The 12,524-nt window shown below is 45.0% G+C and overlaps 1 protein-coding gene across 8 annotated transcripts in view, besides 4 other annotated features; it reads right to left on the reverse strand.

The window, feature by feature from the left end:
* ZFP64 (ZFP64 zinc finger protein) overlaps positions 1 to 2,298 on the reverse strand; it is a 107,769-nt gene extending 105,471 nt beyond the window's left edge. For all 8 annotated transcript variants that reach the window (XM_047440285.1, XM_017027945.3, XM_017027947.3 and 5 more), the window contains exon 1: positions 2,110 to 2,298. In XM_047440285.1, coding sequence (XP_047296241.1) covers positions 2,110 to 2,155 — 46 coding nt within the window. In that variant the 5' untranslated portion in view covers positions 2,156 to 2,298. The remainder of the gene's footprint in view (positions 1 to 2,109) is intronic.
* Positions 1,153 to 2,009: an enhancer, noted in NCBI's record as "H3K27ac hESC enhancer chr20:50807173-50808029 (GRCh37/hg19 assembly coordinates)". NCBI's record gives its function as "activates a minimal SCP1, AML or CMV promoter by ChIP-STARR-seq in primed H9 embryonic stem cells {active_cell/tissue: H9 hESC(primed)}" and the evidence as "EXISTENCE:reporter gene assay evidence [ECO:0000049][PMID:30033119]".
* Positions 1,770 to 2,009: a silencer, noted in NCBI's record as "silent region_13044". NCBI's record gives its function as "represses an Ori minimal core promoter by ATAC-STARR-seq in GM12878 lymphoblastoid cells {active_cell/tissue: GM12878}" and the evidence as "EXISTENCE:reporter gene assay evidence [ECO:0000049][PMID:35858748]".
* Positions 2,370 to 2,639: a silencer, noted in NCBI's record as "silent region_13045". NCBI's record gives its function as "represses an Ori minimal core promoter by ATAC-STARR-seq in GM12878 lymphoblastoid cells {active_cell/tissue: GM12878}" and the evidence as "EXISTENCE:reporter gene assay evidence [ECO:0000049][PMID:35858748]".
* Positions 3,050 to 3,179: an enhancer, noted in NCBI's record as "active region_18118". NCBI's record gives its function as "activates an Ori minimal core promoter by ATAC-STARR-seq in GM12878 lymphoblastoid cells {active_cell/tissue: GM12878}" and the evidence as "EXISTENCE:reporter gene assay evidence [ECO:0000049][PMID:35858748]".

The raw sequence follows: 12,524 nt of genomic DNA on the forward strand, positions 1-12,524 counted from the left end.
TTTTTTTTTTTGAGATGGAGTTTTGCTCTTGTTGCCCAGGCTGGAGTGCAAGGGCACGATCTCAGCTCACTGCAACCTCCGCCTCCTAGGTTCAAGCGATTCTCCTGCCTCAGCCTCCGGAGTATCTGGGATTACAAGCGCCACCACCACGCCAGGCTAATTTTGAATTTTTAGTAGAAATGGGGTTTCTTCATGTTGGTCAGGCTGGTCTTGAACTCCCGACCTCATGTGATCCGCCCGCCTCAGCCTCCCAAAGTGCTAGGATTACAGGCGTGAGCCACCGTGCCTGGCCCTTTTTCCTAAACATTGCATAAACATTGTGCTATATCATTAAAATCTCTTCATATATATATGATTATTTAATGGCAATACATTATTCCATGGTGTCCATGCGTCATAATCTTCTCAGCAACAATAAGGTATTTACATAATTTCCAATTTTTCCCAAGTTAAATGATACAAGACTACCTTTGTGCATATATGGTTAGATAAAATTATGCCTCATAATTTTCTGAAAATTTGTAAGATATTTACATTATGTCCAATTTTCCCCAGGTCTAGCTAAGACAAGAAATCTCTGTTCAGAAATACAGTTTGGTTGACTTGCTAAGGAGACTGGGCTGAGCACTGTGATAAGCCATCTTGCAGGGATACACTTAAGCACTTTGCAATCAATGGATGGAAGGAAGGAAACCTTTTCTTCTCTGGCAGATACTGAGATACCCATGGAACTAACAAGGAAACAAGGAAGTGAGACATGAAGTAGCTTGCATTGCTGACGATTCCTTAATGATGGAATAGGACTGACACCCAGAATGAAAGGATTTTCATAACAGATAATGTCACTGGTATGTGGAAAGTGCAAAAGTAACGACATAGACCTTCGTTAGAATCTTGACACTGTCGCTTAACAACAGTGACTTTAAGCGTGGGTTTTCTCATCTGAAAAATGGGAGGAGAGGTTTCTAATCCATGGTTTTTGTTTGTTTTTAATTTCTCCAAGAAAAAACACGGGCTTGTTATGAGAATTAAATGGGATGGTGCTCGTACCAGCACAGTCCCCCCTCCCCGCCAGTCCCCCAGCATGTTACCTGCTGGGTTCTTACTGAGGTACACTATTTAAACATGGACATATCTGAGCCCCACCTAGGAGATACTGAGTCATAACAGGGTGGGGTGGGGAGGATGGTGTTTAGGAAAATCTGTGCTTTTCACAGTAATGCAAGGAATACACCGCCAAGTTTGGGACCCAGTGTCTCCCAAACTGTTAACAGTAGCAGCTAACAAGCTGGGAGCTTACTATGTGCCAGATTTTCTGCAAACCCCTGGTAGATGGGTTCTCAAACTTCATGTGCTTCAGAGTTGCCCAGGCAGCTACGAAGGACAGCGGATCCCCAGCCCCACCCCCGAGATTGAATGGGTGGGGCCCAGAAAGCTGTTTTAAAATACACGCTCTCGCTCCCAGGTGGCTGGTTGCACTCAGTCTCTGGACCACACTTTGGGAAACAATGCACCGGGAGAAACCAGGGACTTGAAAAACGCTGATGTCCTCCTCGGTTAAATAAAAACTGAACCCCAAACCCAAATAAAGCGACCACGGCCCCGTTTTCCATTCAGATCTCCACCCTTAATGAGGAAAAGGCTTTGCAATGAGCCGGCAGGACCTCGTGAGACCTGGTGATTCCCCCAATCTCCAGGCTCTAATTTTGAGCCACTGAGGCAGAAGTTTTCCCATCAGTGTTGCCCCGTTTACCCTAGATTCCTCCCTTTCTCCTGCCCGCCCCAAACTCCGCCTGATGGGGCGGGAATGCCCTTAGGGGGTGGCGATTGTCTGAACGGCGTGCCCTCCCCCACTGTTCCCTTCCAAGGGGTCTCGCAAGGCTGGAGAGCGCCCCCGGTCTTGCGCCAGGTCGGGTGCGCCCCCACCCCAAGCCCACTCCGGCGCCCCCTGCACAGCGCGCCCGCCGCGGTCCCCGAGACGCGGCTCCGAGCCGTCACCCCGATTTCGGGGCCCCGGGCCTGCTGGCTGCGTCGCAGACGTGCTTGGGCCCGGGCCCCGGAGCGCGCACTGGGCCCCGGAGCGCGCACTGCTCCCGGAAAAGCACTTACTTTGCACCGAGCCCGCGAAGCTCTCGCCCTCGCTGCTCGCGTTCATGGCCGCAGACTGGGAGGTCCCCGGCCGGCCGGGATGCCAAAGTGGGGGACGCTGATCTACATGGTGCAAGGACTTTTCCTTTTATTTTTCCACACCCCCCACCCTGCCTTCTCCCAACTCTGCGAGGCGGGGAGGACGGATGTAAAGCAAGCTGCACTTCCGCTGCCTAGAGGGCGCTGGCCGGGCCCGGCGCCCCAACCTGGCTTTGCAGCAGCGGCTCCCCGGGGAAGCGGCGGGCGAATCCCGAGGCCCAGGCCCGCGGAGCCCCCCAACGCCCCCGGGGAGCTGGATGGCCACGCGCGTCCCGGCGTGCTGGGCGACCGCGGGTGGCGAGGGATGCGCCCCTGCCCGCACTCTGCGTTCTCCGCGGACGCGATTGGCCTCCCCGGCTCGGGGCGCCTTTTGCACCTGCAACCCCAGGCGTTGGGCCCCCAGCGCGGCCGTGCAGCAGCGCTGCTCCCGGGACGCCTGGGTGGTTTGCGGGGAGACCCACGTGCGGCTGCCGTTGCGGGGTGGGTGCGCGGGGCGCGGCGAGCTCCGGAGAAACCCAGGTTGGGCGTGAGCGCTGGGCAAATCAGCAAAGCGCTGGGCGGGTCCCTTGCCCCGCTAGGGAGACTGAGAGGACCGCGAAGAGGTGGGGTCGTAGCGCGGAGGGACCCCTGCTCCAGGAGCTGCCAACTTTATCGTGCATCGCAGTCGCCTGAAAGGCTTGTTAGAACACACGCTGTTGGGCCCACCCTAGCGTTTCTGCTTCAGTAGGTCTGGGGCGAGGCGTGAGAACGAGCATTTCTAAGTTCCCAGGTGATGCCCCTAGTGTTGGTCGGCGTCCACACTCTGAGGACAGTGACCTCTCTGCTCTGTCCCTCATGTCTTACTACTACTGTCTCCCCCGGGCTCCTGCGTCAGCCCTATTGTCTCTCTGCCGACCCTCCCAAGCCTCAGACCTCTCCCAGCCTCGAGGGATTTGCCCATAGAGTCTGTCCTGCTTCTGAAGGTCAGCATTCAAATTCACACTCAGGGAGGCCATGCTTGGCCTAATCTAATCATTCTAATATTGCAGCCCCCTCCTCCTCCCCCAACCACTCCCTGTCTCCTTCCTGTTTTTTTCTTTTTCTTTTTCTTTTCTTTTCTTTTCTTTTCTTTTCTTTTCTTTTCTTTTCTTTTCTTTTCTTTTCTTTTCTTTCTTTCTCTCTCTCTGCCTCTCTCTCTTTCTCCCTTTCTTTTTTTAGAGAGGGGGTCTTTCTCTGTCTCTCAGGCTGGAAGAGTGGTCGGATCCTAGCTCATTGCAGCCTCCAACTCCTGGGCTCAAGCAATCCCCCCTACAGGCGTGGGCCACCACCCTGGCTCACTTTTTAATTTTTATTTTTGTAGAGATGTTGCCCAGGCTGGTCTCGAATTCCTGGCCTCAAGCGATCCTCCATCAGCCTCCCAAAGTGCTGGGGTTACAGGTGTAAGCCACCATGCCTGGCCTGCTTTGTCCTTAAAAGGTGTTAGATGGAACATATTATGTATCTCGAGTATATCTGCTTAGATATAATTTAGTTGTATATTATCTGTGTTCTCCTCCCCCTTATTTTCAGTAAGTCCCTGTAAAAATGGGGATTAAAAAAATCTCTTTGCTTCACTGATGTAGTCCAGTGACTTGGCTGGTGCCTGACACATAGTAGGCTTAGTAAATATGGCTTGTATAATGAATGGGATTTTCCCTGCTGCTGCCTCTAAGGCTTGGTTTCTGCCTGCAGCAGCTGTTTATTCTCAAGTGTTTGTGAAGTGCCAGGCACTGGGCTAGCTGCTGGAGGTAGACCAGGGAGGCAGTCAACATGAAATAATCAAATCAGTACTGTAAATATATATATATTTAATATATAATATTTAATATATTTAATATATATTTATATTTATGTATATATATATTATATATAAATATATACAATATATATTATATATAAAATATTATATATTATATATTATATATTTATATATATAAAAAATATATATAAAACTTCCTTTTTTTTTTTTAACCTTAAGTTCTGGGATACATGTGCAGAACGTGCAGGTTTGTTACATAAGTATACATGTGCCATGGTGGTTTGCTGCACCTATCAACCCATCACCTAGGTTTTAAGCCCCACATGCATTAGGCATTTGTCCTAATGCTCTCCCTCCCGTTGCCCCCCACCCCCTGACAGGCCCTGGTGTGTGATGTTCCCCTCCTGTGTCCATGTGTTCTCAACATTTTGCTAGTGATAAGGGCTCCAAAGACCATAAAATGGGGCTGTAATAGTGGCTGTAGAACTGGTCATAGCAGGCCTTTCCGAGCAGGTAATATCTGAACAAGGAGCCGGGGAGGATGCAGCCATGTGAGGATGAGGGGGGAGCAATTCCAGCCTGAGGAACTGGTGGGAGCAAAAACCCTGGGGCAGGAATGAGCTAGATGTAACTGGCTGTGGCCTGCCAGTCCCACTGCAGATCACACCACTCTCACCCTGCATTGCCCAGGCAGCTCCACCAGGCTCCTTGCTGTTGTTGCTCCTCCCTCTGCCTGGATTGCTTTCCTGGTCTTTGCAGGACTGGCTATTTTAGGTCATCCAGCATCAAATGAAATGTCGCCTTCCCAGAGAGACCTTTCCTATGTCTTACCTAAAGTATTCACTCTCCCTGCGACTCTGCGACATCACCTTCATGATACCTGTCTAGCTAACATGACCCAGCAGAGCACCGCAGCTTACGGCAATATTTATTTTTTATTGCTTGATGAATGTTTACATATGTGCACACCTGGGAAGTCCCCTTCCAAGACACACATTTCCAGCCCTGGTCGGCTCCCTCATGCACCTTCCCAGCCAATAATACTATTCTGGCCAGGCAAGGTGGTTCATGTCTGTAATCCCAGCACTTTGGGAGGCCGAGGTGGGCGGATCACCTGAGGTCAGGAGTTCTAGACCAGCCTGGCCAATATAGTGAAACCCCATTTTCTTCAGTACAAAAATTAGCCAGGCTTGGTGGCGCACACCTGTAATCCCAGATACTCCAGAGGCTGAAGCAGGAAAATTGTTTGAACCCAGGAGGCGGAGGTTGCAATGAGCTGAGATGGAGCCACTGCACTCCAGCCTGGGTGATGGAGCGAGACTGTCTCAAAAAACTATAAATAAATAAAATAATACTATTCCTACTATCCAATCTTGCAGAGGTCACCATTCTAACTTTTATTGTCACGATTCCTTTTGTTGAGAGCAATATATCTCACATTTGCCTGAAGAGAAGCATCATCTGGAAGGCTCACTAAAGAATGAGTTCTTGGGTTCCAAGCTATGCTTACTGCATCAGAATTTTCTGGGGTAAGACTTGGTAATCTGCAAATATCTCAAAAGTGCCCCAGGTAATTCTTATCATGATGTAAGTCTGGGCCTTACTGGTTTGGTGGTTAAGTGTGTAGGCCCTGGAGTTAGGCTATGCCACTGCCATGCAAATCCTGGAGTTGCTGAACTAGGATTAGTTGCTTAACCTTGAATAGGAAATTCAACTGCTCTGTGTCCCGGTTTTCTGTAGCTTGGAGATAATAGTAGCACCTAGTTCATTAAGCTGTTTTGTAGGAGGAACCAATCAATATCTGTAAAGTGCTTAGAATAGTGCCTGACTCATATAACTCGGCATAAATCCTAGCTATTATTATCTTTTAATTATTTTTGGTTATTATCTGTCTCCCTACCATGTAAGCTCCAGGAGGGCATAGACCTGGCCTATTTTATTTACCTGTATCCTCTGGGGCCTAGAACAGAGCCTGGCACACAGGCATCCTCAGTTCATTTTTTATTGTGAAATGATTTCATGCATGTTTCCATGAGCTCCATTTTAACCTTTTGCTACTATGTCCAGCCAACCTTCTCTATTACACATCTTGACCACTGCAACAGTCTTTTTCTGGTCTGAAAATGTCCTATTTTCATTTCTTATTTTTCTTTCTATACTTTTAAAAAATGTTATTTTTCAACATAAGCTCCATCAAGATCAACACACTCTTATTTATTTATTTAGAGACAGAGTCTCGCTCTGTCACCCAGGCTGGAGTGCAGTGGTGCGATCTTGGCTCACTGCAACCTCCACTTCCCAGGTTCAAGCGATCCTCCCACCTCAGCCTCCTGAGTAGCTGGGATTACCGGTGTGTGCCACCACGCCCAGCTAATTTCTTTGTATTTTTGGTAGAGACGGGGTTTCATCATGTTGGCCAGGCTGGTCTCAAACTCCTGGCCTCAAGGGATCTGCCTACCTTGGCCTCCCAAAGTGCTGGAATTACAGGTGTGAACCACTGCACTTGCCCTATACTTGTTTTTCTTATTGCAAAAGTATTAGAAATTGTTGGTTAGAATTTGAAAAAAAAATACAGGAAAACATAAGAAAATAAAACCCACTTATAATTCACTATGCAGAAATAACATTTTGATTGATGAATTTTTGTGTGTGTGTTGTATGTGTGCATACACACACATATAAATCATATTCATATATTTTATAAAAATGTAATTACAGCTTACATGTTTTTCACCTCCACATGAAATATACATGGCTATCTGAGATCTCACCAACCAGAGATATATACTTATATCTTTATGTACTACATGTCTATATCTTTATAGGCTTTTTTTCTGTAGAAATGTAATAGAATGAACCATATGAATTGCTGATATATTTATTTTTTACTTAAAAATGGTAATTTTATATGGTTCAAACCAATATGTACTCATAACATTAATATTATACTTCTTTCTTTTTTTTCTTGAGATGAAGTCTCACTCTGTCACCCAGGCTGGAGTGCAGTGGTTCAATCTCAGCTCACTGCAACCTCTACCTCCTGGGTTCATGAGATTCTTCTGCCTCAGCTAGGATTACAGGTGCCTGCCACCAGCCTGTTTTTTGTTTTTAGTAGAGTTGGGGTTTCACCATGTTGCCTAGGCTGGTCTTGAACTCCTGACCTCAAGTGATCCGCCTGCCTCAGCCTCCCAAAGTGCTGAGATTACAGGCGTGAGCCACCACTCTCAGCCAATGTTTGTATTTCTATTAGAGACAGGGTTTGTTATGTTGGCCAGGCTGGTCTCGAACACCTGACCTTGTGATCCGCCCGCCTCGGCCTCCTAAAGTGCTGGGATTACAGGTGTGAGCCACCATGCCTGGCCTCAAATTTTTTTAATAATACAATTCCTAATTTATAGCTCAGCACATGGCCTCCTGAAAAGAGACTTTTCCCAGCTTCCTTTGTAGCTACGCATGGCTATATGACTAAATTCTGACAACGTAAATGAAATGTGATGCAGCTTCTGGGAAATATCCTAAAATAGCAGTTGGCATATGCTGTTTGTCCCTTCTTCTTTAGCTCTTCCTCTTTTCCTTGCTTGGGATGAGGATATGATGGCTGGAGCTCCAGCTGCCATTTTGGACTATGAGAATGAGGCGATACTCTAGGTATGGCAGAATAGAGAGCTGGAAGGAGCCCAGGCCCCTAACTTCTTTGTGGAACTTCCAACTGGATTGCCTATTTCCAGACATCATATATGAGAAATGCACTTTTTTCAGCTATTGTTATTTGGGGTGGGGGAATGTTTCTTTCACATGCACCTGAATCAAATCTTATTCTAACACAATGCTATGCAAACTATTCCACAATTGGCTTTTGATCTTGATTTGGTGGGTTGCATTAGAATCACCCGAGAAATTATTAAATATCCTAACCCCTCTCCTTCAGAAGGATTGGGATGAGGCCTGGGTATCTGTATGCTTGACAGACTTTTTGGGTTGTTCAATCAGCACTTGGTGCTTGCAAACCTCTGCTCCCTACCATTTTTTAATGGTCACATAATATTTCATTATAGGGTTGCATCATAATTTATTTGCTATGTTACTGGATGTTTGTTAATGATTTTTTTTTTTTTTTGAGACGGAGTCTTACGCTGTCACCCAGGCTACAGTGCAGCGGCGTGATCTTAGCTCACTGAAACCTCTGCCTCCCAGGTTCAAACAATTCTCCTGCCTCAGCCTCCCAAGTAGCTGGGACTACAGGCATGTGCCACCACGCTCCGCTAATTTTTTATATTTTTAGCAAAGATGGGGTTTCACCATGTTGGCCAGGCTGGTCTCGAACTCCTGACCTTGTGATCTGCCCACCTCGGCCTCCCAAAGTACTGAGATTACAGGCGTCAGCCACAGCCCTGCTGTTAATGATTTTTTAGATATCATAAGTAATACACCATAGTAGCTTTTTTAATTGGCCCGTGCGAACACATTATTTCTCTATGCCAGCCATCCTGAAGAGCTGCCAGAATAACTTGTTTCAACACCATGTGGAAGGGCTTTTTCTTCCTTTTTTCAGATTATTTATTTCAATGTGGATTCTATCCAGATCTATTTCTCAGTAAGAATCACAGTTCTTGAAAAGTTAACAGCCTTTGTTTGACTAGAAAGCTCACGATTTCTTCTGTTCTCAAGTTTTTGACCACTTCTCATTTAATAGATAAAATATAATATAGAAATGGCAAATGTCTTGCAGGGTGCAGACATACTGGTAATCCTACTCCATGTTCTAAATCTGGCAACTAAAATAAACTTGAATTTGTTACCAGTGCTTAAAAGTTGATGTATTTCTCATAAGAATTGGGATTTATAGCTTTTTGCAAAAATGGAAGGATCTGGCAAATCTGGGCCTGGACTGTCAAATGGTAACCCTTGGCTGGGCCGGAGAAGCTCCTGTGGATGAAGCCCAGCCTCTCTGATTTACCCCAGTCCCCACTCCTCCCTGTTATTCTTGATAACAAGGCTGAGAATCAGTTTCCATCATTCGTTGCCTCTGTGAGCCATGTTGAATTTAACCAAAATTTGTAACATGTTTCTGATAGAAAAAAAGAACTTCTCCGTCTCCATGGTTTCAATGTTTCTGTTAACTAAAAGGCTTCACTAAGTTACTTACATTACCTCCACTATGTCCAAATAAATAAAATAAAAAAATAAAAAAGCCTATTTTATAACAAAGTGTTGGATACCTATTTTATAACAAAGTGTTGGATGCCTGATGTAATTTATTATTCTTGACTGTCAGAACAACAGTCAAGAGGTAGACACTATTATCACTATTTCATAGATGCAGAAACTGAGTCTCATAAAGCCTAAATAAATTTTCTTCAGGCAAAAGACCAATAAAAGTACGTTAGTTAAGAATCTTTGGTCAGGCATGGTGGTTCATGCCTGTAATCCCAGCACTTCGAGAAGCAGGCGAGGAGTTCAAGACGAGCCTGTGCAACATGGCAAGACCCTGTCTCTACAAAAAATATCAAAATTAGCTGGGCGTGGTGGCATGCACCTGTAGTCCCTGCTACACAAGAGGCTGAGATGGGAGGATTCCTTTAGCCCAGAAGGTTGAGGCTGCAGTGAGCTGTGATGGCACCACTGCACTCCAGCCTGGATGACAGAGCAAGACCCTGTCTCTAAATTTAAATAAATAAATAAATAAATAAATAAATAAGAATCACTGATGGCAAGTAACAGAAACTGTAGAACAGATTTTCACAGTATTTTAAAATCAATCTATTAGAATTATTCACTTGCTTAAATTATTTCTGGCAAGAGATATTCAGATACTTTCTTAAAGTATTAAGAGAACACGCAGGTTTTTTTGGAGGGGGGGGTCTGGTAATGTTGATAACAAGAATAATGAGGACATATTAACTGAATTAATTACTGTAAGTTTTCGAGCAAATATATCCTTCTCCTAACAATATACAGATGCTGTTCAGCATATGTATGATTTGCTACATCCTGATAAACTCATTGTAAGCTGGAAATGTTGTAAGTTGAAAATTCATTTAATAGACCTAACCTACCAAATGCCCTATCTTAGTCTAGCCTAAATTAAACATGCCCAGAACACTTACATTCGCCTGTGGTTGGGCAAAATCATCTACAAAAGCCTATTTTGGCCAAGTGTGGTGGCTCATGCCTATAATCTCAGTATTTTGGGAGGCTGAAGCAGGTGGATCACCTGAGGTCAGGAGTTTGAGACCATCCTGGCCAGCATGGTGAAACCCCATCTCTACTAAAAATATGAAAGATTAGCTGAGCGTGGTGGCACACACCTGTAGTCCTAGCTACTCAGGAGGCTGAGGCACAAGAATCACTTGAACCCGGAAGGCAGAGGTTGCAGTGAGCCGAGATCGTGCCACTGCACTCCAGCCTGAGCGACAGAGTGAGACTCCACCTCAAAAATAAATACATACATACATCCATACATACATAAAATAAAAAAGCCTATTTTATAACAAAGGGTTGGATGCCTCAGGTAATTTATTTGATACTGTACTGAAAGTGAAAAACAGAATGGCTCACTGGTGCTGCCCAGCAGCATGAGAGAGTATCACACTGAATATCGCTATCCCAGGAAAATATAAAAAATCAAAATGGAAAGTATGGGTTTCTACTGAATGGGTATCACTTTCACACCCATTGTAAAGTTGAACAATCATCAACTGTACTATTTTACATTAGGAATCGTCTGTAGTTTTTAATTTCAAGTGACCAAAATTTTTTCAACAGTATTTTAACATACATAGTTTCCTATAGTAATCATTCATAGTTAGTAAAATGTCAATTCTCAAGGCAGGAAATTTTATTTTCTTCTTTGTGTACCAGCACCTATAACAATGCATGGTATTTAGAAAAGGTTGGACGGATATGTTGACGAATGAATGAATGTGCCTTTTGTCAAGATGGCTTCAGAATATAACTATTAAAGCAAACATTTAACTATTACAGGAAAACATTTTTTTCCTTTTTAGTAAACACACGGAGAAAAATGTGACCTAATAACAGAATACAGCAAATTATAGATTCCATTTAGACTTTATGATAACTGGTATTTTTAAACCTCCTTTATTTTTCTAGACAAGGGCTAACAACAATGGGTATCCTGGGGCTTGGCATTTTCAAAAGTACTTATGTCGACAACCTCTCCACTTAGAAAGTACTACAGAAAATTGTGGCTAAGGTTTCAATGATAAATTTATCGAAGGCTGGTGGTCTGGTCCAGAGGCTGTTGCTCTGTGATTCTTCCCTTGATTCTGCTATTTGTCAGGGACGCTGACCCTTGTTTCTTGTATCCAGGGTTCTGGGGGCTTCTAGCTTCCTGTAGGGTTTGGCTGAGGGGTGGAAGGGAGAAGGCAGAGTATTTCTCCTCTTCCCCGTCTATCTTGGTGGCAGTGGCTGTGTCTCCTCCATGGCCCTAGATCCTATAGGATGGGCCCACTGTGGCCTCACCTTCTGCCGGGTGACTGTGGTCCCTGAAAACACCACCTCCTCCCTTTGTCTCTCTCCCTGCCACCTTCCCTGGAGAGAAAAGGCAGTGGCTTCCAGGTGTTGCTAATCTCTGGGTTGCCTAACCATTCCCATTTGGTTTCTCAGCTCTTGCATCACTTGGATATCAAATTCCCTGTGTTACATTTACTGAAATTGTTAGATTTGCTTCTCTTTCTCTGGTTGGTCCCTGACTGACATAGCTGTATTAAAGTTTGCAAGGATTATACTTTTGTTCTTGCTTTTCTGGACACACCACGGGTGATTCTTACCTGGAGTGTGCCTCAGATTTTAAGGGAACTTGTTGAGGACACATATGCTTGGGCACCATCTAGGGGGCCTGGGACAGAATCTTGGGGCCTCTGGTCCAGACATGCACAGCATGGAGAGATGCCTCAGGTGACTCCAGCGAGCTCCTCCTGATGTCACTGTCACTGAATCCTGATCCCAAATATTGGAAGGGGACTAAGGGAAATTTCTCTTCCAAAAATTGATTCACTAACAATATTTAGCAACTGCCTGCAATCCTTTATGTAAACATAAAAGACAATGAAGAAACCCTTGAAATTTAACTTAAGTGCTAAACTCTCTGTAATGAGATATGATCCAGACTAAACCTGCTGGGCATTAAGTGGTAGTTACACAATCAATCATTTTGATGAGAGCTGGCTTTGAGTCTTGCCTGGCACATAACTGAGTGTGCACACCTGTGTTTTAATAATATACTTGCTTGGATAATTTCACACAAGCAAGCATGCACAGGCCTGATTTTTTTGTTGTTCTTTCATATAGTTAATGCATCAACGCAGAAATTCTCAAACAGCACGAAAGGGTATATAGTGAAAAGTGGATGTCTCTTCAACCTTCCCCAGCCCCCTAATTTCTTTCTTTTTCTTTTCTTTTTTTTTTTTGAGACGGAGTCTCGCTCTGTCGCCCAGGCTGGAGTGTGGTGGCATGATCTCAGCTCACTGCAAGCTCTGCCTCCCGGGTTCACGCCATTCTCCTGCTTCAGCCTCCCAAGTAGCTGGGGCTACAGGCG

The sequence above is a fragment of the Homo sapiens genome, chromosome 20 (genome assembly GCF_000001405.40).
Source record: "Homo sapiens chromosome 20, GRCh38.p14 Primary Assembly".
Classification (NCBI taxonomy): Eukaryota; Metazoa; Chordata; class Mammalia; order Primates; family Hominidae; genus Homo; species Homo sapiens.